Genomic DNA, 24,169 nt, shown 5'->3' with positions numbered 1-24,169 from the left:
TAGGGATTTTATTTGTGTTTTTTCGTTTTCCCTGTTGGTGAGAGCCACTCCTGCCAACAAATTATTTGCCAAATGGTGACTTCATTTATGATGCCGGTAACGTGATGTTTAACAGCTGACATGTGACCAGTACTTCAAAAAAACTGTGTCCCTTAGCTTACATGGCAACTGAAGTGTTGCAAAAATTCAGAGATCCACATGTAAAATTCAAGAATTTAATATGAGTAAGAGTTATTGAAAGTCACATCTGGTCAATTTTTCCTCATTTATTTATGTATTATTTTATTATTATTACTTTTTTAGAGACAAAGTCTTGCTCTGTTGCCCAGGCTGGAGTGCAGTGGTATGATCATAGCTCACTGTATACCTCAAATTCCTAGGCTCAAGAGATCCTCCTGCCTCAGCCTGCTGAGTAACTAGGACTACGGGTCTGCACCACTGTGCCCAGCTAAATTATTTTTAAAGATTATACTAATAAAAACCTCTAGTACTCATTACGTACAAAAAGCAGTTTATGTATATTAAATAATTTAATCCTTCCCTTTCTGGAAAACTGGGACTAACTCTATGAGGTAGGGGCTGTTTTTATCATCCACAGGTTTGAAGTGAGGCCCAGAAAAGTTGAGTAACTTTCCCAAATTCTCATAGCAGGAAGATAGTAGAGCTGGGATTTGAACCTAGGAACTTGGCTCTATGGTCAGAATGCTTAACCACTCTATTATATTGATCTTTTTGTGATAATCTTGCACATAGAATACCTTGTATTTTCTTTAAAAAATAACTTGTATATGAAATTAAAATGAATTAAAATAACTGTTCAAATTTATCTTTCTAGAACACTTTTTTAATGACAGCATCAAGAAAAAGCAGAGTAAGAATGCAAAATTTGGAGCCAGGTCACTTGAGTTGAGGCAACTGACTAGTAGCTGTTATGACCCTGGGATAAGTGCCTGAAACTCCTTATGCCTCAGTTTCTTTGTCTGTAAAATAGGGATAAGAGTGGTACCTAAATCCTAGAGTGTTTGCTGGAGAGTTAGTGAGATAGAAAGGGAAATAGTTTATGTAAAGTGCATAGCCCAGTGTCTGGCACATAAAATATGCTCAATAAATATCACCCAGTATCAGTATCCCTATTATCAATACCATTATTACCTTGAGTATTAGACACCACTTCAGTTCTGCTTTTGCTCCTCCCAGCTTTACCTGTCTCCCCTCCCCACCTCTCAACCCCTGCAGTCCACTTCCGCATAGGCTCCAATCTGCTTCTCACATCTGCCACCCAGCTGTGCTCCTGTCATCTCCTGCCCTGGGACATCTCTGTTGACCTCAATGCATGAGACTCCAGGGGAAATTTCTTCATACCCAAGCATATGCAACCCAGAGTGCTAGGCAACGAGCCCTCTAAGAGTCAAAACTTGAAGTCTTTCTTTTTCCCTGTCAAAGAACGTATGAGTTGGCTAGAGTTGCTATAACAAAGCACGATAGACTGGTGACTTAAACAACAGAAATTTATTTTATCGTACTTCTGGAGGCTGGGAGTCCAAGATCAAGGTGTCAGCAGGTTGGTTTCTTCTGAGGTCTCTCTTCTTGGCTTGCAGATGACCGCCTTCCTGCTATGGCCTCACCTGGCCTTTCCTCTGTGAACATGCATCCTTGATGTCTCTGTGTGTGTACAAATTTTCTGTTCCTAAAAGGACACTAGTCAGATTAAAACAGGGCCCATTCTATCAGGCTCACTTATCTTAATCACTTCTTTACAGGCCCTATCTCCAAATGCTGTCACATTCTCAGATACTGAGGGTTAGGAATTCACCATATGAATCCTGGAGAAACACAATTCAACCCATGACAGAGGGTCCCAGGCTACAATTCATTAGGCTCCTCACAAGGTCCTGATGGGCAGAACAACCAGTTGACTGTAGTGGCTGACTTACCCGTCTTTCCTGGTTTACAACCCTACTCCTCTTTGGGATCATACTCACCAATAAAGACTTCATACATAGGCTTGCTCTCAAGCCCTTCTTTCTGAAGAATTGGGACTAAGGCATCTAATGGAAATTCTGGATGATGTCCTACTGCAGGGTCAACCAGACCTGTCAAATGTGGCCCCAGCCGTCCTTTCTGCTCTCACTGCCCCATCTGCACAGGGCTTGGCCTGTGCTCACCACACCAGACTCTGCATGTTCCCTTGCCCTCCTGGGACACAGAGTCCTCACCTGTAAATGACAGGGCTGGGTCCCTTCCTCCCTTCCAATTGTATAAGAAAGACATGCTCCACCTTCCTATGAGTGACCTTGTTCACTCTCCTGGAGATGAGTTATGATCTCCATAGAATTCTAAATAAGAAAATATTCCAGGCAAATTGAAAAAGAAAAAAAAAAGATGTCCTAGATTTACACAAAAAGGAGGCAGACAAACCACACAGTAGTTCAAAAGCTCTCTAAATTAGTGCTCCAGCACTATATGGGAAAGTTAACAGATATGGAGCTGGCCAATCCCAGATTTTAATTAAAACCCATCTTTTAGGCCAGGTGTCGAGGCTCACACCTGTAATCCCAGCACTTTGGGAGGCCAAGGCAGGCAGATCACCTGAGGTCAAGAGTTGGAGATCAGCCTGGCCAATATGGTGAAACTCCATCTCTACTAAAAATACAAAAATCAGCTGGGCATTGTGGTGCATGCCTGTAATCCCAGCTACTCAGGAGGCTGAGGCATGAGAATTGCTTGAACCTAGGAGGCATAGGTTGCAGTGAGCCAAGTTCACTCCACTGCACTCCAGCCTGGGTGACAGAGGGAGGCTCGGTCTCAAAAAAAAAAAAAAAAAATTAATTTTAAATTTTTTTTAAAAAATCTTTTATTAGTCAAAATATGACTAGTATGGCCACCCAGCCAAAAGAGAGAACTAGCTTAATACAAATGTGCTCTCACACACATACACACAAACATGTACTTCTTAGCATTTTGTTATTTTATTCTATGTGGAAGCAGCAGTATGTGGATGCAAATGGATTTTTCAAGTATTTCTCTTGGCATTATGGCCATATTTAATGTAACATCCAGTAAAGCAGAAATTTTAATTAAGTTTATGGCCTGACTATCTGTATTTGTTTGGAATTTCTGTCTCTTCAAAGCAAAATGTGAACCTGGCTTTAGACCTGGAAATATCTCAGGCTGCAACCAAAAACATTATCAACAAACGGCAAATGTGTGGTCTGAAATATAAAATAAGTTTAGAAGAAGTTGAAGCCTATTATCCAAATATCACAAAATACCTGGATATTAATTATGTAGTCACTAACTTATTTGGATATGCTTCAGGGAAGATGAAAAGAAAATTTTATATATTTTCAAGGGGAGAAAAAAACTATCTCAGCATCAATAAACTACCAAAGAGCCATTTAAATGCATTTTATTTATGTCTCTGGGTTTTGATGTGGTTTTCCTTTTAATCTTAATTTCTTTGCATTTTATAAATGAATAAAGCCTATGTACAATTCATATTTAAATGTTTTAGTTAATCTGGAGGTTTATTTTCTTTAAGAGAGTACAAAGTCACTAATGAGTACCAAATAAGAATAGTGAATGTGACCAATATAAATTAGTAAGAAGCATTTGTGTGAACTTGGAAGCAATAACAAAACACTTAAAATAATCTCTACTGTGTAATATAGGCATAACTTGGACCTGCCATCTCTTGTCTGCCTTTGGGGGGATGAATTGAGCTGCCCATAATTCAACTTTGTATTCTCTGTGAAGTATTTGTTACGCGAATTAAAGGTGCAAATAGATGTCCAATTTGAAACGGAAAATCTGGATGGAAACCCTGAAACAGCATTGCTAAACTCCCTACTTAAATTCATATGAAGGCAAAAATTCACAATGCTAAAAACAAGTACAGTCAACTCACTGCCAGAATCTGGTAGGCCTTCTCAATTCTTGTCTCCAGAAAAAGAAACTGTCTACCCAGGTAGAAATGCCTTTATCTTTTCACCACCACTGTCTTGCTGCATGAATTCAAGTTGAAAGACCAGTACAAGTCCTAGACCAGGCAGAAAAATAGAAACTCTGTCCTCTTATAGTACTGCTGCTTTTTGAGGTAGTCAGGGCCCTGTCTCTCCCACTAAACTCTCCCGTTTCCAAACTAATTATCTTCTCCCAAACTTGTCCATTATATATACTCATAAATTTACTCATGCCACTGATTGCCATGCCAGGCACTGTTCTAGAAGCTAGGAATACAGCAATAAACAACAACAACAGCAACAACAATATAGACTGCTCTGGTGAAGCTTATCCTCAGGCAGGGCACAAAGCAGTAGATTTTCCGTTCAGAGACTCATGCTCTGAGAAAATAGCTCTGCACAAGGTAAGAGTGAGATGGGAATAGAATATTGCACATGGGGAGATGTGGTATCCACAAGAAAAGTGCTGTAGTGGGAACAGGAAAATCCCATTTTCGTGTGTTCCACCCATGCTGAGTGATAAAGCCCAGGAACTGAGACTTACTTAATACAGTCCGGCAAAGCAGAACTGGATAAAAGCCTGCTAGACAACAGGGAGATAAACCTGTTCTATGTCAGGTAGGATAAACCACAGCAGAGTGAGAGGGACAGGGAATGCAGGGGTAAGGGGTGGGAGTGAGGACAGGGTAGTTGGGGAAGGCCTTCTTGAGGAGGTGACGTGTGAGCAGAGCCCTGAAGTAGGTAAGGAAGTGAGCCACGTGGACATGTGGAGAAGAGCTGCCCAAGCCTGTGCAAGGGCGTCAGCCTTCACCCGGTTGCCTCTGCTCCTGTAGGAACTCTTGGTTTGTTTAGTCAAGGCCAGTTGTTTCTGCCAACAGCATCTCCACAACACATCTTCCTGCTTCTGTACTCCAAAACCTTCTTTAATACAAACGTCCCCAATCCCTGGGCAATAGACTTCACGGCTCACCTTCACGGTAGAAGGGCTGCAAGAGAAAGGGGGAAAACAAACTGGATCACACAGAAAGTAAGTATAGTTGAGGGGTTTACAAAACAAGTATCCACAATATATATATTCTAGAAAAATTATTAAACTAAAAATTAAAATAAGAAGAACAAAAGGTTCTATAAAAGGATGCAAATCAGGTTTTGCTCAGTCTTGACATCTATAATAGTAAGTTTCAGAAGACAATAAAGACTTTAGGGAAAGGGTCATGACACCAGAATGCATGCATATGTATGTGTGTGTGTGTGTATGCACACACACACATATACGAAGACAATAGTAAGTCATTCTCAAGTTTGTGACATCTCAGAAAGTGAATCATCACAGTACCTTGAGGAAATTTCTAGAAAATATATGCAGACGACCAAGACATAGATGACAAGTAAGACCTCCAGAAGAGGAAGTTGTAGCTAACAGGCCAGAGGAATCCTCGTGTACTCAGGCTGGGACCTAGAATCAAGAGCTCCAGCCGAATGCCCACGTCGGGGGCCACGCATGGCCCTGCACTGCTTCCTTCACCACCGCCTCTCCTGCAGCTCTCTCTCCGCTTTCCAGTGCCAGGAAATGGGCTTGTTGCACCATATCCTTCAACTCTCAGTTCAGAGGAAATCTTCTGCATGTTTAGTGGCCACTTAAAGCTGTAATTAATAGTGTTCTCTTCCAGTGCTTGCTAACATTGGCTATGTGGGTCACACTGTTAAGAAACTGAACCAGGAGAATTACTTTCAAAAGGTATTTTCCCTGCACAAAAGTAGAATGACATAGTGCAACATAATCGTCCTTTTTTTTCTGCCATGGAACATAAGTGATGGCTTTCTGCACCTTTAAAAGTCATACTGAGAGTCCTGAGTCATTGAGGTTTAATTGGGAAAGACTACTAAACCACCAATAACAGATATGATCTGCAACTGAGCCTCTTGAAACTCTTTCTTACAAGATCTGTGCATATTAACAAAACTTTAATCCAGCATAAACACAACTATGTGTTTAAAAAAAAGGAATTATAAGAAAATGCACCCAGATGTTAAAGGAAGGAAGGGATAGTTTCTCTGGGAGGTAGACTTTTTATTTATTTATTTATTTATTTATTTATTTATTTATTTATTTATTTATTTATTTATTTGAGACAGAGTCTCTCTCTATTGGCCAGGCTGGAGTGCAGTGGCACGATCTTGACTCACTGCAACCTCTGCCTCCCCGGCTCAAGCAATTCTCCTGCCTCAGCCTCCCGAGTAGCTGGGATTATAGGGGTGTGCCACCATGCCTAGCTAATTTTTTTATTTTTAGTAGAGGTGGGGTTTCACCATGTTGGCCAGGCTGGTCTTGAACTCCTGACCTCAGGTAATCCACCCACCTCGGCCTCCCAAATTGTTGGGATTATAGGTGTGAGCCACCGTGCCCAGCCTCTGGGAGGTAGACTTCTAAGTGATATTTTTCCTGCTTTATATAGTTAGCAGATATTTTAAAAACAGATTTTTAAGAAACCAGCCTATGCAATTGCACATATACCATGAAATTGCAACTGTTTAAAAATCAATACAGATGCTTCTCAATTTACGATGGGGCTACGTCCCAATAAACTCATTCTTAAGTTGAAAATATCATAAGGTGAAGATGCATTTAATACACCTAACCTCCAGAACATCATAGTTTAAACTTGTCTCCCTTAAACATGTCCAGAATATTTACGTTAGCCTACAGTTGGGCAAAATCATCTAACACAAAGCCTATTTTATAATAAAGTGTAGAATATCTCATGTAATATATTAAATACTGTACTGAGAATTGTTGGGTGGATACTTGGAGTATGGTTTCTACTAAATGCATTTCATTTTTGTACCAATGTACAAAAAGTGAAAAATTGTAGGTCAAACCTTCATAAAGTGGCAACTGTTTGTATGTCAGAAGAAGAAAATAAATCACAATGTATATGTAAGTGAAACTATTGATAATCTTTTTTTTCCTTCTCTTCATTTTTATTTTCTAAATTTTCAATAGGAGCATACATTACATCTGTAATTGAAAGAAATTTTTCTTAAAGTAAGATGGTGAGTGATTTGAGCATGCTTCAAGAGAGCAAACAGGCTGCTATTTGGATGCCAATCAAGTGATTGCTAATTACAAACAATTCTCATTTTCATCAAGTCAATCAGGCAGTTTTTACTTATACTTCAAGTAGAAGCCAATGTTTTTAGTTGCAAAGAACTGAATTGCTTCTGTGATAGAGTTCAAACTGCATATGCCCGTTCTTTGAAGACATTAGTAAAGCTCTATAAATCTTTAATCCAAATTTAAAAGGATTTTCTATAGGGGAGAAGGATAACAGACCATCAGTGGTAACCTCAAGGTGGATTGAGTAGTCAGATCTGTGTCGCTCCAGGCAAACTCCGCCAGGTCCACAGCAGGAGTGCGGACCCTTTGTGTAGCTCACCTCATACAACCCAGTCCAATTTTGGATGCCAGCTCATTCCTTAATTCCCTTCAGACCTCAGGATCTAAAGTTAGAAAGCCCATAAAGATAGGACACTTGTCTGCCATGCTAACTTCAGTATCCTAGAATATGGGAGGTGCTCTTCAATTTGTGGAACTGAAAAATCTGTTCAAGTGCCCAACTTTACTGAAGGATTGGAAATAACAAAAAAGAATAAAAGATCAAAGAATAACAAAGACCTTCACACTGGATGTGACTGCCAGCAGAATCATAAGAGGAGCCCTTCCAGAGGAAAGTGGCCTACTAGCACTTTCTCCTTCATCCCTGGCCTGCGCCCACCACTTTGCAGTGGCCAGCGCCTTCCCCAGCAAGAGCCCCTAGACCAGTTGTCTTCTCCCAGAGCCCAGGCCCCAACCAATGTTTGAAGGAAAACTTCACTGCTCACAAACTTCTGCCTTCCAGGATGGCCAACCACCCAGGAAGCCCTGACATTCAGGAAGGCCCCACCTCCTATTGCGAAAAGGACAAGGCATCCGAATTCAAGCTGACAGTAGCATCTTTTTCACATTTTGAAACATCTGGTATAAAAAAACACCAAGAGGGAACTGCGCACAGAACTGAAGGTGCTGGGCTCTGGAACTACCAGGCCCACCTCTGTGTTCCGTTCACATTAGCAAAGAGAAACTAGACTCCTTCATCCTTTGTTCATGCCCACCTCAGCTCTAGCCCTCCTGGCGTAATGATTTGGTTCTTTGGGAACCAAAAGAATATCCAGATTCGTAGCAGCCCAAATCTATATTAAGAACAAGAAGCATTTCCTTAAAGAAACACATTGCCAAGATTTCACTTCACAATGAAAACGGCCTTTACTTTACTTTGCCAATCAATTTAGTTGTTCATTGTCTTAAATCCTTCCACTTTGGAAAGGAGTTTTGCTTTCCATTTACATTACCAAATACCACATTAAAGAGACTCTCAAACACTGTGTTCTCAAAGTGGAAATCAAGGCACTCTCTCTCCAGCCCTGTTTCTCCAAGTTTGCCCACAGCTGCCCTGCCTCGGAATGACCTATGGAACTTTTTAAAAATGCAGATTCCCAAAGATCTTCTGAATCAGAATTTCATAGGAATGGGCCCCAGAATGTGCATTTAAAAACAAATTTCCTGAGGAAAAAGCTACCTGGCTTACATGTTTCCTGTTCATTGTGATAAATAAATGAACATTTAAAGGTGGGGAGGAGTTTCTTGAGTAATTCTAATGCAAACTAAAGACCCCACTGTTTTGCTCTAGAAAAACAAACTGAAGTTTAAAAAAAAGTCTGCTTTTGCCGGCCCGGTGGCTCACATCTATAATCCCAGCACTGTGGGAGGCCAAGGCGGGTGGATCACTTGAGCTCATGAGTTTGAGACCAGCCTGGTCAACATGGTGAAACCCCATCTCTACAAAAAATACAAAAATTAGCCGGGGTGGTGGTGCATTCCTGTAGTCCCAGACACTCGGGAGGCTGAAGCATGAGAATCGGTTGAGCCTGGGAAACGGAGGTTGCAGTGAGCCAAAAGGGCACCACTGCACTCCAGCCTGGGTGACAGAGGGAGATCCTGTCTCAAAAACAAAAACAAAAACAAAAACAAAACAAAGTCTGCTTTTCCCACTCTCCCTTCCATGATTTTCCATCGGTATTCCAAATTATTGGGGTTCAGACTCAGCTGAAAATCCTGTTGTACCTCATTTTACGGATAGGAAAATGCATTCAGGAAGTGCGCATATGCAGAATTTGCAAGCACTTTTGTGGTCTGACTTCATGATGGCATAAGCTCATGTGGTCCATGTACTTTACATACATTATCATATTTAATCCCATAAATAGAAAAAATCTTATAGATGTCATTGTTCCCACTTTGTAGTTGGAGAAACTGAGGCTCAGGAATAATTTGAACCCAGGTATGTTCTTTCATCCAGAGTTTGGGCTTTCCCTACTACACCCAGATGCCTGTCATCCACCCACCAATGTTTAACTAGTTTTCTCTTATTTTTGTTCTAGAGTTATTTTATATCTGGACTTTTCTCCTGCCCAGATATATTCTATATGCTAATTAATACCTTAAATTACATATGTAGAGCTATCCCTTTGATTTAAAGATTTGTTTTCTGCTAAATTCACCCTTTTGACTTTCGCTAAAATTCACGTTTTATTATTCTTTGGACATTAATACTTGATCAGTTCCTGAAAACCTTTTAACAAGGAAAGGATGGCACAAGTATGAGATGCTGGATGCAGAGGGTGGGAAGGAGATATCTCGTCACTCCAGGGAGAGGCAACAATGATCAGCGACCGTTACCTTCACAGTTTTACCCATGACCAGCTTGCCCTGGGAGCCTATATGGATCTTTTAGGATCCATGGTCACTGACAACAGTCCTGTTATGCCCTTAGCTGAGTTTTTCAGAGGATCTTTATGTATAAAATGGCAAGGGAAAATATTAATTGCCTGGAGAGGGACTAAGAATACAATTAACATCCATTAAAGTAAGTATGTTTGTTATTCACACTACATCTTCGTTTTATGCCATAAAAATGAGATGCATTTGGGTTGTGAGTCAATCTGGCAAATCAATTTTATGAGCTTTTCCTTATAAGTTAGGCCAGTAGCAGGCCCTTCATTGTTCAAAAAGGAAATGACACAAAGAGTTGGTTTAACAGCTGAGAAGGCAATGGAAGACCAGAAGAGCAAGTAGAGGTCTGGGCATTTGCCTCTTTCTTTCCTTATTTCCATTGGAGTATGGTTTTTAATTGCAAGCTCTATGAGGCTAGGGATGGTGTCTGTCTGGTTCACTGCATTATCTCTGGTGCCTAGCACTACAACGAGACCAGAGAAGGTGATTAGTCAACATTTGTGACAAATGTTGAATTAAAGCCTTTCAGAAATCCCATGTTGGCTTTGTTACACTGATTTTGTGTTTTCTAATTTCTTGCGTGCGATAGAATTCAATGCAGTACGAATGTCTTAAGTTACTAAATACCCGAGCACATATGCAAGATTTCAAACATTATTTTTTTGTCGTTAAAGATATGACTAGGAAAAAAAGTAATCAAATAGAAATATGATAGTTTAGAACAGTGTTGAAGGATCAAATCAATCCAAATTCAAAAATATCACAATGTTTGTTACTATTTTTCTCTTTCCTTTTGTTCTGGAATAATATTGCTTTGCTCCAGAAACAATGAATCATTTGTCATCTGCGTTATGCTCTCTTCCAAATAAAATAGCTATGTAGAATGGACTTATAGACAAAAGCCTTCTTGAGTCTGAAGACATGAGGATAATATATTTAAGACTGGTGATTAATAGCAGTTATAGAAATGCCTTAAGTTTTAAAGTCTAAAGAACTCAATTTTTAGAGTGCTGCAAGTTTGTTTTGTTTATATGAATTATAAATATGGAAAAACATTATTTCTTTGGGTAGAGATATTAAAGTAAAGTAGCTTTGTTTTGTTTTCTAAGTATGTACTATTCAGGGCTATTGGATACGGAGTCATAAGCAATCTATTTACTTATTGTGGTTCATGCTAGTCTTACAGGAATCGTTGATACTTCGGCATTGGAATGAGAGAATTATAGAATAATAAAGTTAAAGGCCAGGCATGGTGGCTCATGCCTGTAATCCCAGCACTTTGGGAGGCTGAGGTGGGCAGATTGAGCCCAGAAGTTAGAGACCACCTTGGGCAACATTGTGAGATCCCTATCTCTACAAAAAATACAAGAAATTAGCCAGGCATGGTGGCGTGCACCTGTAGTCCCAGCTACTCATAAGGGCGAGGTGGGAGGATCACTTGAGCCTGGCAGGTGGAGGCTGCAGTGAGCTGTGTTCGCCCCACTGCACTCCAGCCTGAGTGAGAGAATGAGAACTTGTCTGAAAAAAAGGAAAGAAAGGAAGAAAGAGAGAGAGAGAAAGGAAAAGAAAGAAAAGAGGAAGGAAGGAAGGAAGGAAGGAAGGAAGGAAAGAAGGGAGGGAGGGAGGGAAGGAGAGAAGGAGGGAAGGAATGGAGGAAGGAAGAAAGGAAGGAAGGAAGGAAGGAAGGAAGGAAGGAAGGAAGGCAGGCAGGCAGGCAGGCTAGAAAAGACTTCGAAAGATCATAAGGTGTGGGCTTTGTTGATACACATATTCTAGGCTAGGCAATCTGTTCGAAAGTCTTAGAAATAGGCATGCCCTCTGACCCAGTAATTCTACTTCAAGGAATTTATCAGAGGTATAAAGATATATATACAAATATGTACATCATGGCCCTATTTGTAATAGCATGAAATTGAAAACAGACCTAGGTGTGCAACAGTGGAAGATTAGAAAATACTCTATGGTATATCTAATACTTTGCAACCACTAAAGTAGCATTTGTTTACATGGAAAATGTTCACCATTTATTGTTAAGTAAACATAAAAAGCTGAGAAGGAGACAAAGTATAGTTGGTATGATGCCATTTTAGTAAGTTTAAAACTGTGTGTTTTTATATGTGTGCATGCACATGTCCATGAAAACTGCCAAAACATTAATACTGCTTGGATTAGACATCTCTGGGGCCTTACAGCCCCTCAGCCGTCCATTTTACTTCAGTCATTGCTGTGGAAAGCAGCTACACAGGTGTAAACTGACAGCCTATTGCCTCGGCTGGGAGGAGGTCCTCTCAGCCCTGTGGGTTGTCTGCAGAAACCATCTCAGCCTTCTGATGTCTGTGCAAATTTAGAAGAACAAGGGAGTTCATGCCCTGTGGGGTGACCCTTGACTAAAAGAAGATGGGAGCCAGTGGATCAATATTTCAAGTGATATGCCAATAAACTTTAACAACCAGCTGTCTAACAAAAATAGCCCTGATATGTGGCTTTCACCAATTTCCACGGTGTAAACACTCCCACTGTGGTCAATTTCAAGCTACCAACCTGATGTCACTGAGCACAAAGTTGGCACGACATATGCACAACAGGCCATGCCAAGCTGGGCAAGCAGGTTCCAACACACCATTGAATATATTCACCTCTTCCATCTCTCTCTTATCTCTCTCTCTCCCTCTCTTTCTCTCTTTCTCTCTCTCTCTCTCTTTTTAGAGACAGGATCTCACTCTGTCACCCAGGCTGGAGTGCATGGCATGATCACAGCTCACTGCAGCCTCGACCTTCCATCTCTTCAATGGACAATCTGAAGCTCATTCTACAGTGAGACTAAGCCTTAGTTACCCAGAGTGGTGAACGATTTGATAATACACTTTTGAATGGCCTTTCCCTCCTTCCCTGCTTCCCTTTCTCTAGCCCTCCACTCCCATTCCCTGGGATCACTTCCCAAAAGACAATCTGCACATGAACCCTTGTCCCAGGGTCTTTCTGGGGAAACCGAAGTAAGACAGAGGTTATTTTGGGATATGACAACTCTGGATAATTTAGATTTTTTTTTATGTGTGCTTTTAAAATATTGTCCATTTCTGGTCTGGGCTCAGTGACTCATGCCTGTAATCCCAGCACTTTGGGAGGCCGAGGCGGGCGGATCATGAGGTCAGGAGATCAAGACCATCCTGGCTAACACAGTGAAACCCCGTCTCTACTAAAAATATATTAAAAAAAAGAAAAAATTAGCCGGGCGTGGTTGTGAGCACCTATAATCCCAGCTACTCAGGAGGCTGAGGCAGGAGAAGGGCGTGAACCCGGGAGGCAGAGCTTGCAGTGAGCAGAGATTGCGCCACTGCACTCCAGCCTGGGTGAGACAGCCAGACTCCGTCTCCAAAAAAAAAAAAAAATTGTCCATTTCTTCTATCAGGCATGCCACTTATATAGTACTGATATAAAGGAAAAATGCATGTTATTTATAATTGTGGCAGAATTTTATATATCATAACAGGTATCCTGGTAAGTTGGAAAATATTACACAATTTAGAAAGATTTAGCCATCCCTAGAGTACACGTTTGTTGTTCTCCACACATGCTGTTCCTGTTTTCCTAATATTGCAGATATGAGACTGATCCATAGGAGTGGAATAGAAAGAAGGGTGGGACCAGAAAGGCAAGGATTAAAGACAAAGACAGTTTTCCTTATTTTTTTTGTTGGCTTATTTTTCCCTTCATCCCACCAAGGATCCATTAAAGATAATGAAAATAACAGCTACTGATGAAAAAACTGATTCACAAAGTTTAATGAGCAGAAAAAGTGTTTTGGCATACTATTCATATTTAGAGATAAATGCTATAGATAACAGTCTTAAAAACATGCTCATCAACAAGGAGAAGATAATGTTATTATATTCAAGACATATTTCATTCCAAGGAAACCTTCACAAAGAAAAAAAAAATTATTATTAAAAGAGAATTTAGTTAAGCAGCCAGAGGCAAAAAAAAAAAAGGTATAAAAATCTATAGATATTAGAAATGGCCAGAGAAAAATATAGTAGAACAAACATTTTTGTTCACAATATAAAAAATAACACATATAGTAGTATTAAACTCCACAAGAAATAGGTGGTGTTTATATGTGGAAAATTACAAAATTATACTGAGAACTATGAGTCTTAGAGAAACCGAGGGACAGCCACATGAAGGGACTCGGAGTCCTTAATTGCCTTTCCACCCATGGATAAGACCAAAGAGACCCTATTAAACCCCCTGCGGTTACACTGCAGGGCCTCGAAGAATCTTTTCATCTTACCTCTTTTCAATTTGCTTTGTCTGTAGATAGTCTCTCTCTCTTTTTCTTTCTCACTACATATATGGATATAGCTGTATATAAATATAGATATATATACACACATACATATACACATACACATACTCACACTTATATGTATACACACACACACATAAAACCCTAACTGTGGAAAGAAATACACCCAAAGCCTTGAAAAATTCTACATACTGTACTTTTTTTTTTTTTTTTTTGAGACAGAGTCTCTCTGTCACCCAGGCTGGAGTGCAGCATCGCAATCTCGGCTCACTGCAACCTCCGCCTCCCAGATTCAAATGATTCTCCTGCCTCAGCCTCCCAAGTAGCTGGGATTACAGGTGACTGCCACCAGGCCCAGCCAATTTTTGTATTTTTAGTAGAGACAGGGTTTCACCATGTTGGCCAGGCAGGTCATGAACTTCTGGCCTCAAGTGATCTGCCTACCTCTGCCTCCCAAAGTGCTGGGATTACAGGCATGAGCCACAGTGCCTGGCCTTATACACTATAGATTTACAGTGATATTTTTCTTCCTTAAAATTTCCATTTTCTACAAGAAGACTATTATATATTACTTTTTTAATTGAAAAAGATATTTAAAATCAATTGAATTTTATGTGTTTTTCTTAATCACAATAGGAAAAGTTTTTAATCAAGTTCATCTGAGATACACTTTCAGACTCTCAGGTATTTACACATAAATTCTCTCATCAAGGCTGTATTTCTACCCTCCTCATGGTGGTCATCAAAATTCAGCCATCTAGCATGAAGCACTCGTGGGGCCAGGCGTTATGAAACCAGCCGATGTCAGTGGCAGCACTTGTCACAACAGCGAAGCTTGAAAGCTCCGCAGTAGAGGTCAAAGTGTAACTTAGCAATATCTTGGCATTCAGGGACAGACACGGACTCACTGACAAAGAGTGCTGTTCTTCCCTTAGGTAACTGGTTTTTGTCTTGCAGACGCTATGGATCAGGTGCTGTTTTTTATGTCCTGCCTTCCTCTGGCCTTGAGGAAGTTCAGAGTCCAATTGTGTCACATCTTTTCCAACTCCATATGACCCTAGGTACACATTTTGGGGACAACTTTATTTTGTTGTTTATACTTCCTCTTTGACTTGATTTTTTTTTTTGTTTTAATTTTGGTGTTATTCCACTGTATTTGATGTCCTTATATAACCTGCCTAAAATCGTTTTGGAAGAAAAAGAACACAAAAATTAACAAATTAAGCAGAGTCAGGAACACACTGCATTCCCTCAGGGCCTTTGCAAGTTCTGTTGAGCTCCCTGAGAAGCGCAGCTTGTGCAGTGCAAAGAAAATTCAATGGAAAGGGGGAAGATGAGACTTCTAAACACACCCTTCTCACAAGCAGGGCCTGAGTCAAGCTACTGACACTCTTGGACCTTAGTCTATGAAAGATTTGCTTTCTTCCCTAAGATTCTTTGGAACTTTCTCTTATCCTAGTTTCTCTGACTTGTAAGAGCCGTAAATATTACCTGCCATAAAGTATTAGGTTGATGCAAAAGTAATTGCGGTTTTTGCCATTACTTTTCAATTTAATATATTTGATGAGGTCCATTCATGTAACAAATATTTAATGATGGCCTACTATATATAGGGAAGGGTGTTACATTAAAATTCTCACACTCCTGATGCCCAGAACACAATTTCTCCAAGCTAATTCTACAGAATTTCTTTCAAGACCTGCTATCAAGATATTTACAGCCATTTCATTTATAATGGCAAAAGGATTTGATACAACATAAATATTCCACTATATGGAACCAGGATAAGAAGTTTCTTAATTTGAAAATTATAAATATTAAGATGGTATAGAAACATAGAAAAGAATATAGATAGAAACATAAGTATATTTCTATTTTTTTAAGTACAGATATATTTTATTATGTCAAAAGTAGATATAATCATATTAATAATTATTTAATATAAATATATTTTAGTAAATTATGGCTATATCCGTGTATAAAACCAGAAAGGTGTGCACAAGAATTTAAATGGCTGAGTTTGAAGTAGAGTTTTTGTTTTGTTTTGTTTTTGTTTTTGAGACAGAGTTTTGCTCTTGTTTCCCAGGTTGGAGTGCAATGGTGCGATCTTGGCTCATTGCAACCTCCAATTCCCGGGTTCAAGCAATTCTCCTGCCTCAGCCTCCCAAGTAGCAGAGATTACAGGTGCTCTCCACCATGCCTGGCTAATTCTTCTGTATTTTTAGTAGAGAAGGGGTTTCACAATGTTGGCCAGGCTGGTCTCGAACTCCTGACTTCAGGTGATCCACCCGCCTCAGCCTCCCAAAGTGCTGGGATTACAGGCATGAGCCACCATGCCCAGCCTGAAGTAGAGTTTTAACTGTACTTTTTGAGTATGTATGACAGGTCAGAAACAATTAAATGATTATTACTAATATCAATCATTAGTTGCTTTGAACCTTTAGGTTCAAAATTTTGGAAGGACTTTAACTTGTAAAGGTATTAGTGCCCATAAATATGTTCAAACCATAAATTCTTCAACAACTGATCTAATAATTATTTGAGAAAAATTCATGATAACTTATTGCCTCATGAAAAACTTTGGACAACTTTGCTTCCAGTTTTAATAGTGTTAGTCTTCTTTTAGTGTCAGCAAGACTGAGTTATTTTCCAAGAGTTCATTGGCTTCTGCTGCTTATTCTTTACTGTAGGTCATAATTCTGTGTTTGTGGCAAAATAATCATTTCCATGGCAACCAACTGGGATGTCTCAAGGAGAGGATTAAGACTTCAGGAAAGGACTAAGCAAGAGGAGCAGATGAATAATGAAAATAATCATGATCCTTATTCTCAATCAGAACAGAAGGAATATTAGGATGAGAATGTACGCTATAGGTCTTTCGGAATTTCTTCAGCCTTCAAAACAACTACTTCAGTTCAGTTTTCTAGGAGACCTCACCTACCCTAAGATGCAGCTACTCCTATACTGTAGACGTTGTATAAACAAAAGGGGCAAGGGGAAGCCTAATCAAAGCTCCAGAACATTCCAATCAGGTACATGCCAATTGTACGGAAATACTCTCCAATAGCATCTTGGAAAGAGATTTAGAGGTGTATGTGAGTTTTTATGTGTAGCACACTACAGGGCCAGAGTTAAACTATTTTATTGTGTTAATTTACTTTTTTTGTAGCAAAAGTGGTATATAGGGAGTAGCTTAGAAAAGTGTAAGTTGGCAGGGCGCGGTGGCTCACGCCTGTAATCCCAGCACTTTGGGAGGCCTAGGCGGGCGGATCACCTGAAGTTGGGAGTTTGAGACCAGCCTGACCAATATGGAGAAGCCCCATCTCTACTAAACATGCAAAATTAGCTGGGCATGGTGGCGCACACCTGTAATCCCAGCTATTCGGGAGGCTGAGGCAGGAGAATCGCTTGAACCCGGGAGGTGGAGGTTGCGGTGAGCCCAGCCACGCCATTGCACTCCAGCCTGGGCAACAAGAGCAAAACTCTGTCTCAAAAAAAAAAAAGAAAGAAAAAAAGAAAGAAGGAAGGAAGGGGAAAGAGAAAGAAAGGAAGGAAGGAAGGAAGGAAGGAAGGAAGGAACGGAGGGAGGGAGGGAGGGAGGGAGGAAGGGAGGCCGGGCGCAGTGGCTCAAGCCTGTAATCCCAGCACTTTGGGAGGCTGAGGCGGGCGGATCACGAGGTCAGGAGATCCAGACCATGCTGGCTAACATGGTGAAACCCCGTCTCTACTAAAAATACAAAAAAATTAGCCAGGCATGGTGGCGGGTGCCTGTAGTCCCAGCGTGAACCCAGGAGGCGGAGCTTGCAGTGAGCTGAGATCGCGCCACTGCACTCCAGCCTGGGCAACGGAGAGAGACTCCGTCTCAAAAAAAAAAAAAAAAAAAAAGAAAGGAAGGAAAGGAAAGGAAAAGAAAAGAAGGAAAGAAAAGAAAGAAAGAAAGAAAGAAAGAAAGAAAGAAAGAAAGAAAGAAAGAAAGAAAGAAAGAAAGAAAGAAAGAAAAAGGAAAAGAAAAGAAAAGAAAGAGAAAGAGGTAAGCCATTTGAAGAATGGATTTAAATGAAGCACAGATTAAATATGGACCACACTTTTCCTATTAAAAAAACACTCTGGGCCAGGCGCGATGGCTCACGCCTGTAATCCCAGCACTTTGGGAGGCCGAGGTGGGTGGATCAAGCGATCAGGAAGGAGATCGAGACCATCCTGGCTAACACGGTGAAACCCCGTCTCTACTGAAAAAAAAAAAAAACTAGCCGGGAGTGGTGGTGGGCGCCTATAGTCCCAGCTACTCGGGAGGCTCAGGAGAATGGCGTGAACCCGGGAGGTGAAGCTTGCAGTGAACCGAGATCACGCCACTGCACTCCAGCCTGGATGACAGAGTGAGACTCCGTCCAAAAAAAAAAAAAAAAACCACACACACACACACACACACACACACACACTGAATAAATAAAAAGTTCAAAAGAATATTGATGGAATTTGCTTGTGTTGCCTGTATTTCAGAGCAAGTATTACATAATAAAGTGATTAATAACATCACATGTGAGCAACCCTAAATGTTTAGCTCTTCGACTTAAAGCAATTTGCATGTTACACAATCTGCAGTTTTGGCTTTATGCTAGATATACCTATGCTGTTAGTTACCTCAGACACCAAACCAACATGCAGTCAGCCAAGGAAAGCTAGCTCAAAAAAAGGCCAGGAAATGTTTTTTAAATTGTTTTCATTGTGTTATAATTTACATGGGGCTAAAGGCACATATCTGAAGTGCACAATTCTAGTAGTTTTGACAAACGTGTAGATCCTGTCATCAACACCCAAATCAAGATAGCATTTCTACCTAGCTAAAAGGTCCCCTCATGCTTTAATCTTCTCCTCTTACCCCCACTGAGGCAAGCACTATTCAGATTGTTTCTTTGTACATGAGTTTTGTCCATTTAAGAACATGTGAATGGAGTCATACAGTGTATATTCCTTTGTGTCTGGCTTCTTTTGCTCAACAAGTTTTTAAGATGCATCCACATGGTTGTATAAATTGGTAATTCCTTGTTATTGCTGAGGAGTATCTCATTGTGTGAATAGGCCATTTTAATTCATGCATGCTAATTGATCATCTGTGGCTAGTCTGTATAATACAAATTGTAAATCACAAGCCAGCCTGCGTATATAACCCACACCCTCTCTCTTATCTATCACTATTTTGCACTTCTAAGCATTAAAATGAAGTTACAACCTCATCATTTGGACTGATAGAAAAAGCCAAAATGGGATAATTTTTGTTAAAGCAATGAGTTTCATTACTTTCATATTTATACCCAAACTACTGTCTAGACAACCTAAGTGCAAAGCAGGGATTTTCTCGGTATTGCTTTAATGAATCTACAGGGATTTTAATTAGCACATCAATTACTTCAGGGCTACCACAGGGCAAATGTTGTGGAGCAGATAAACTTTGATTTGGAAGGTCTTCCACTCCTGCCCCTCTCATTGCTCCCTCCCCTTTCCAGGGCCCTCCCCAGGACAGCTATCCTGATGCCAGTCTCACACGGCCTTGATCGCAGCTGGCTATGACAGATGGAAATGGTTCTAATAAGTTAATTCTAGGGGTTAGATAATGAGGGCTTAAGGGTTTTTCCCTGCCAGAGGGAATTTACATTTTAAAAGGGGCCTCTTGGAAAGTGATGCCCAGCATGTGGAAGGTTATCAATAAATGCTATCTCCATTCCGTTGAAGAACCAAAGCAAACTTAGAAGGTAAGAAAGATATTTTCAGATCCAGAGGGACATCAAAGCATCCTCTGAACTCGACTGAACTCTACTGATAATGTTGTTGTGGAACTGCCAGTGTCCATCCTGCTGCTAAATAAAGACAAGCAGGAGAGTAGACTAAGACACAAAGAAGGAGCAGCCTGCAGAGTCCTCCAAACCCTGTGTCCAGACAACTCACTCATAGCTACATGCAGTCCTTTGCAAATGGGGAAGAATGGGGATTTGAAATATTGACTTAGGCTTATTCTTTCCCCAGTATTCCAGGCCTACCCTCAACCTTCCTCCAATTCAGGCAGCAGAGATGTCGGGTGTATGTGTGTGTGTGTGTCTGTGTGTGCATGTGGGTGTGCGCCTGCCCTCACAGTAGGGTTGCTATGGCAGAAATGCAGAGATAGAAAAGAGAAATAACTTTGTCTTAGTCCATTTGTGCTGCTATAACAAAATACCACAGACTAAGTAATTTAATTGAAGTTTATTTCTCACTGTTCTGGAGTCTGGAAATTCCAAGATCAAGATGCCATCATTCAGTGTCTGGTGAGGTCCTTCTTGCTGTGTCCTCACATGGCAGAAGGGCGGAAGAGCAGAAAGGGACCTAAGCTAATTTCCTCCTGCCCTTTTATAAGGCACTAATCCTTAATCACTCCCCAAAGGACCACACCTATTCATACCACCACAGTGGGGATCAGGTTTCACAGTGGGGATGAAGAGGAATTTTGAGAGACATTCAGGCCATAGTAGAGTTTTGAAATAGACTTTTTAAACTAGAGACAATAAACTCAAAAAGTTTAACTCAAAAAAGATTTTTGAATTTCAAAAGCCTGGATTATGAGAATCAAAACCAAGGTACTTAAGGACTAGAGGCATGAAGTTTATACTATTAGCCACAGATTTGGAAACAGTGCTTCCCAAAGGACATACAGACCCTCCATACTGAGGGAGGAGGAGGAGGAAAGCTATTGAAACACTGGTGGGTGTCCCAGAGAAGGAGTGACTCCTGCCCCTGGCCGAGTCTGGCTAGATAGAACCCCCTAGTAAGTTTGGGAATCTGAGCATGATCAAGGGCTATGTCTCACTCCTTAGTTGGGGTTCACAGAAGAGCCAAATCTTCTTGCCCTCTCCCACAGCAGTGTGGTAGAGCAGCAGCAGTAGATAGTGATGATAGCACAGCCTGTCTGGGCAGAGTCACCCTGAGGCAGTCTCAATCCCATCTACCCCCAGTGTCATGAGGGAAATTACCTTGATGCCATGATAGCCTCTATGCTACCAGTACACTGTTGCACAAGCTACCCCAGAGATGCAGGACTAAAAAGGATCAGAGACCAAATTAAAATACTCAAAGCACACAATTTATTAAATCAATTTATCCACACATCAATAAAAAGGAGAAAAGAAATGGGGTCGGGTAATGTACTTAGGAAAGGGTGCAGGAAAGGTAGAAGGACCACACTACATAAAACCTGGGTTATGAAAGACCCATAGACATTGCTCTCCCCACACCATCAGTCTTCCCTCTTGATGGTGAGGCTATAAGGACCAAAGATGAGCAAAGAGGCCCAAGACACAGAATATGCCTGGGACCAGCACAGACATTGTTTTCTAGGAGAAACACATGTATTTATTATATCTGGCTACAGCTATTCCTCACTAGTTAGCCTGTTGAGCAGCTGTGGATTTTATTTGGCAGAGGACATTTGGAGTCAGAATGGGTGTCACCAATGGGTTATCAATTTCAGATGTCATAAATATAAAGGGTTTCACATACCTCTAGTATATTTAGTGTATCATGAAAATTAGATGCCTCTGGTACCCCATGTATATTTAGCGCTTTGTGAAAATTAGGTGTCTCTTAGTTCTTCCATCTCTCCCTATCTATGTTCAGTATGCATAAGCCCTACTTATTTTATCTACATTTAACACATCTCACAAGTTACTAACTTCCTTATCTATATTTAACACGTCTTAAGAGTATCACCATCCATTTCTATTTTCTATAGCAGAATTGAATATTCTCAAATTTAGAGCAAATGCATATTTATCTAGCACTCACACACACACTCACATACCCCATAAGGTCACAAATAAAAACACCTGTAGTGTACATTCTCATCCTAAAAAAACTTATGGGATGGCCGGCAAACCAGAAGATAGTCACCTGAGAGACCAATGACCAGAGATCAATAAGAACTCAGACTGCTCAGCAGATGACAGAGGATTGAGAACCAGAAACTCTCAAGGAGCCTTGTAAGACTTAGATGCAACCTAGGGATAAAGAGAGGAGGGACGTCCCCTAAAATAACAGAAATCCTTGTTTTGATTGAGTTTGCCCTGCACTGATTATGTTTTCCACCACTGGGAGGAATGGGGGCTCTGGATCTGTCCTGTCCAAGAAACTAGATGGCTTCTCTATTTGACACTGCAGACAGCAAATGCTTCCATCATCTCAGAAGGTTCTACAGGATGCACACTGCTCTAGATATAAACTGAATTGTAGAAAAATAAAGTTACATCTTTGGAATATCTATGCTTATAGACTGAGATTATTACTTGCTGTACGTATACACATTCCTCATTAATAGGGTATCATAAATTCTACTCTTCTTTTAACCTTTTGTTTGTTTTTAGCAGATTAAAATACACTGATTCAGCCACTTCCTTTCACTGAATTTTCTGTGTTCAGTGGCCTATATGTTCAAGATAGCTAGCGGCAGGAAAAGGATTTATCAAGAACAGAGTGAAACCAACACTGATTAGGGAAAGAAAACCATGGTATTGTTTGCTAGATAAGGCCACAGCTCCGGGGAATATGTAAGGACTTTAGCTTTCTCTCTGAGTAAGATGGAAGTCATGGGTGATTTAAGCAGGGAAGTGGCAAGATCTGGTGCATATTTTAAGACACTCACTCTGGCTGCTATGTGGAGAATTAGTTGAGAAGGTACTAAGGTGGATGTAGGGAGACCATTTATTGCAATACTCTAGGCTGAAATGATGGCTGCTTGACTCAGGGTTGTGATAGTGGAGATGTTGAGAAGTGGTCATCTTCTGAATATACCTGATGGGAAAGCTGCAGTATGACTGATGGATCACACCTAAGGAATGAGAGGAAGAGAGGGACAAAGAATGAGTCCATGTTGACCTAGGCAGCTGGAAAAAGGACATTTCCACATATTGAGCTGGGAAAGCTTGCAAAAGAATAAGAGTTTGCAGAGGGAGTGTTTTGGAACATGCCACATTCGAAATGGGTACTTAAACACCCAAGTGGAGACATGACATAGACAGCTGGAGGTGTAAGTTCAGAGGTAAGGGCTGGAGATAAAATGTTGGTTGTTACCAGCATATAGACAGTATTTAAAGTCATGAGACTTACATGAGATCATTTGTGGAATGAGTAGGTGAGTGAAGCTAGAGAGGAAAGGAGATCTTCAGACTGATCCCTAAGACTCAGCAAGGTTCAGAGATGCAAGCAACACAGAAGATTAAAAAGAAGCCATCAAGAAAACCTGAAAACCAGGGTAGTAGGGTCCTGGAAGCCAAGTGAAGATATAGTCAATGAATAAATGGTCAGCTGGGGTTGGTAGGTTGAATAAGATGTACACCAAGAAATGAGCTTTGAGACTGGAAGCACAAAGATTATTTGGGCCTTGAAGGGACAGGTTTTGGAGAAATGATGAGGCTGAAGGCCTGAGTGAAATGCGGCCCAGGCTTCCTGGGATGCTCATCTCCATGAAGTATAATAGCACAAAGAATTTAGCACCTGAAGGAACCTGTGGATGCTATTGACTTGGGTGGACCCAGTGAAACAAATCTCTTGAGAGAGATGTTATACACCTAAGAGACAGGACAAGAGCAACTCAAATTAGAGAGAAAAATAACTAGAACATCATGAGTCTTCAGGTACTAACTCACACCGAAAAGATACCAGCTATAGGGCTTTAGAAACACCCAAGATTATTTGTGTTACTGTTAGATGACTTTTTTCTCAGATTAAATTTAATTCTCTGGCGTTACCTCTTAAAACTCTTGGTTTTTCAAATTTACTCATAAACTGTAGCTGATGTCTTAAGGGGGATCAGATTAGTGAGACTAATAGTATAATCTACCTAGAGAGTTAAGTGGTTGTTTTTTAAATAAACATTCTATTTTTGCACTTTTTTAAACGTGCAGGAGGGCAGATAATTAAAAGCTCCACCCTGGCCACCTCATCAGAGGAAACCTAACCATTTCTGGGTTTAGTTCTTCCTTACATAATAAGTTTATATATTTTTTCAAAAATCTACTTGTCAATTTAAGAGATTATTGTTCAAAAGAT

At 40.5% G+C, this 24,169-nt stretch overlaps 1 long non-coding RNA gene across 1 annotated transcript in view; it reads right to left on the bottom strand.

Moving 5' to 3' along the window:
* Positions 1 to 4,027: 4,027 nt before the first annotated feature.
* Positions 4,028 to 24,169, bottom strand: part of JAZF1-AS1 (JAZF1 antisense RNA 1) — a 60,921-nt gene continuing 40,779 nt past the window's right edge. The window contains exon 4 of the long non-coding RNA NR_034097.1: positions 4,028 to 4,948. This is a non-coding gene — a long non-coding RNA (JAZF1 antisense RNA 1). The remainder of the gene's footprint in view (positions 4,949 to 24,169) is intronic.

This window comes from Homo sapiens, chromosome 7 (assembly GCF_000001405.40).
Source record: "Homo sapiens chromosome 7, GRCh38.p14 Primary Assembly".
Classification (NCBI taxonomy): Eukaryota; Metazoa; Chordata; class Mammalia; order Primates; family Hominidae; genus Homo; species Homo sapiens.
Note: the sequence above shows the minus strand (reverse complement) of the source record. Positions and strands in the feature narration are given on the sequence as shown.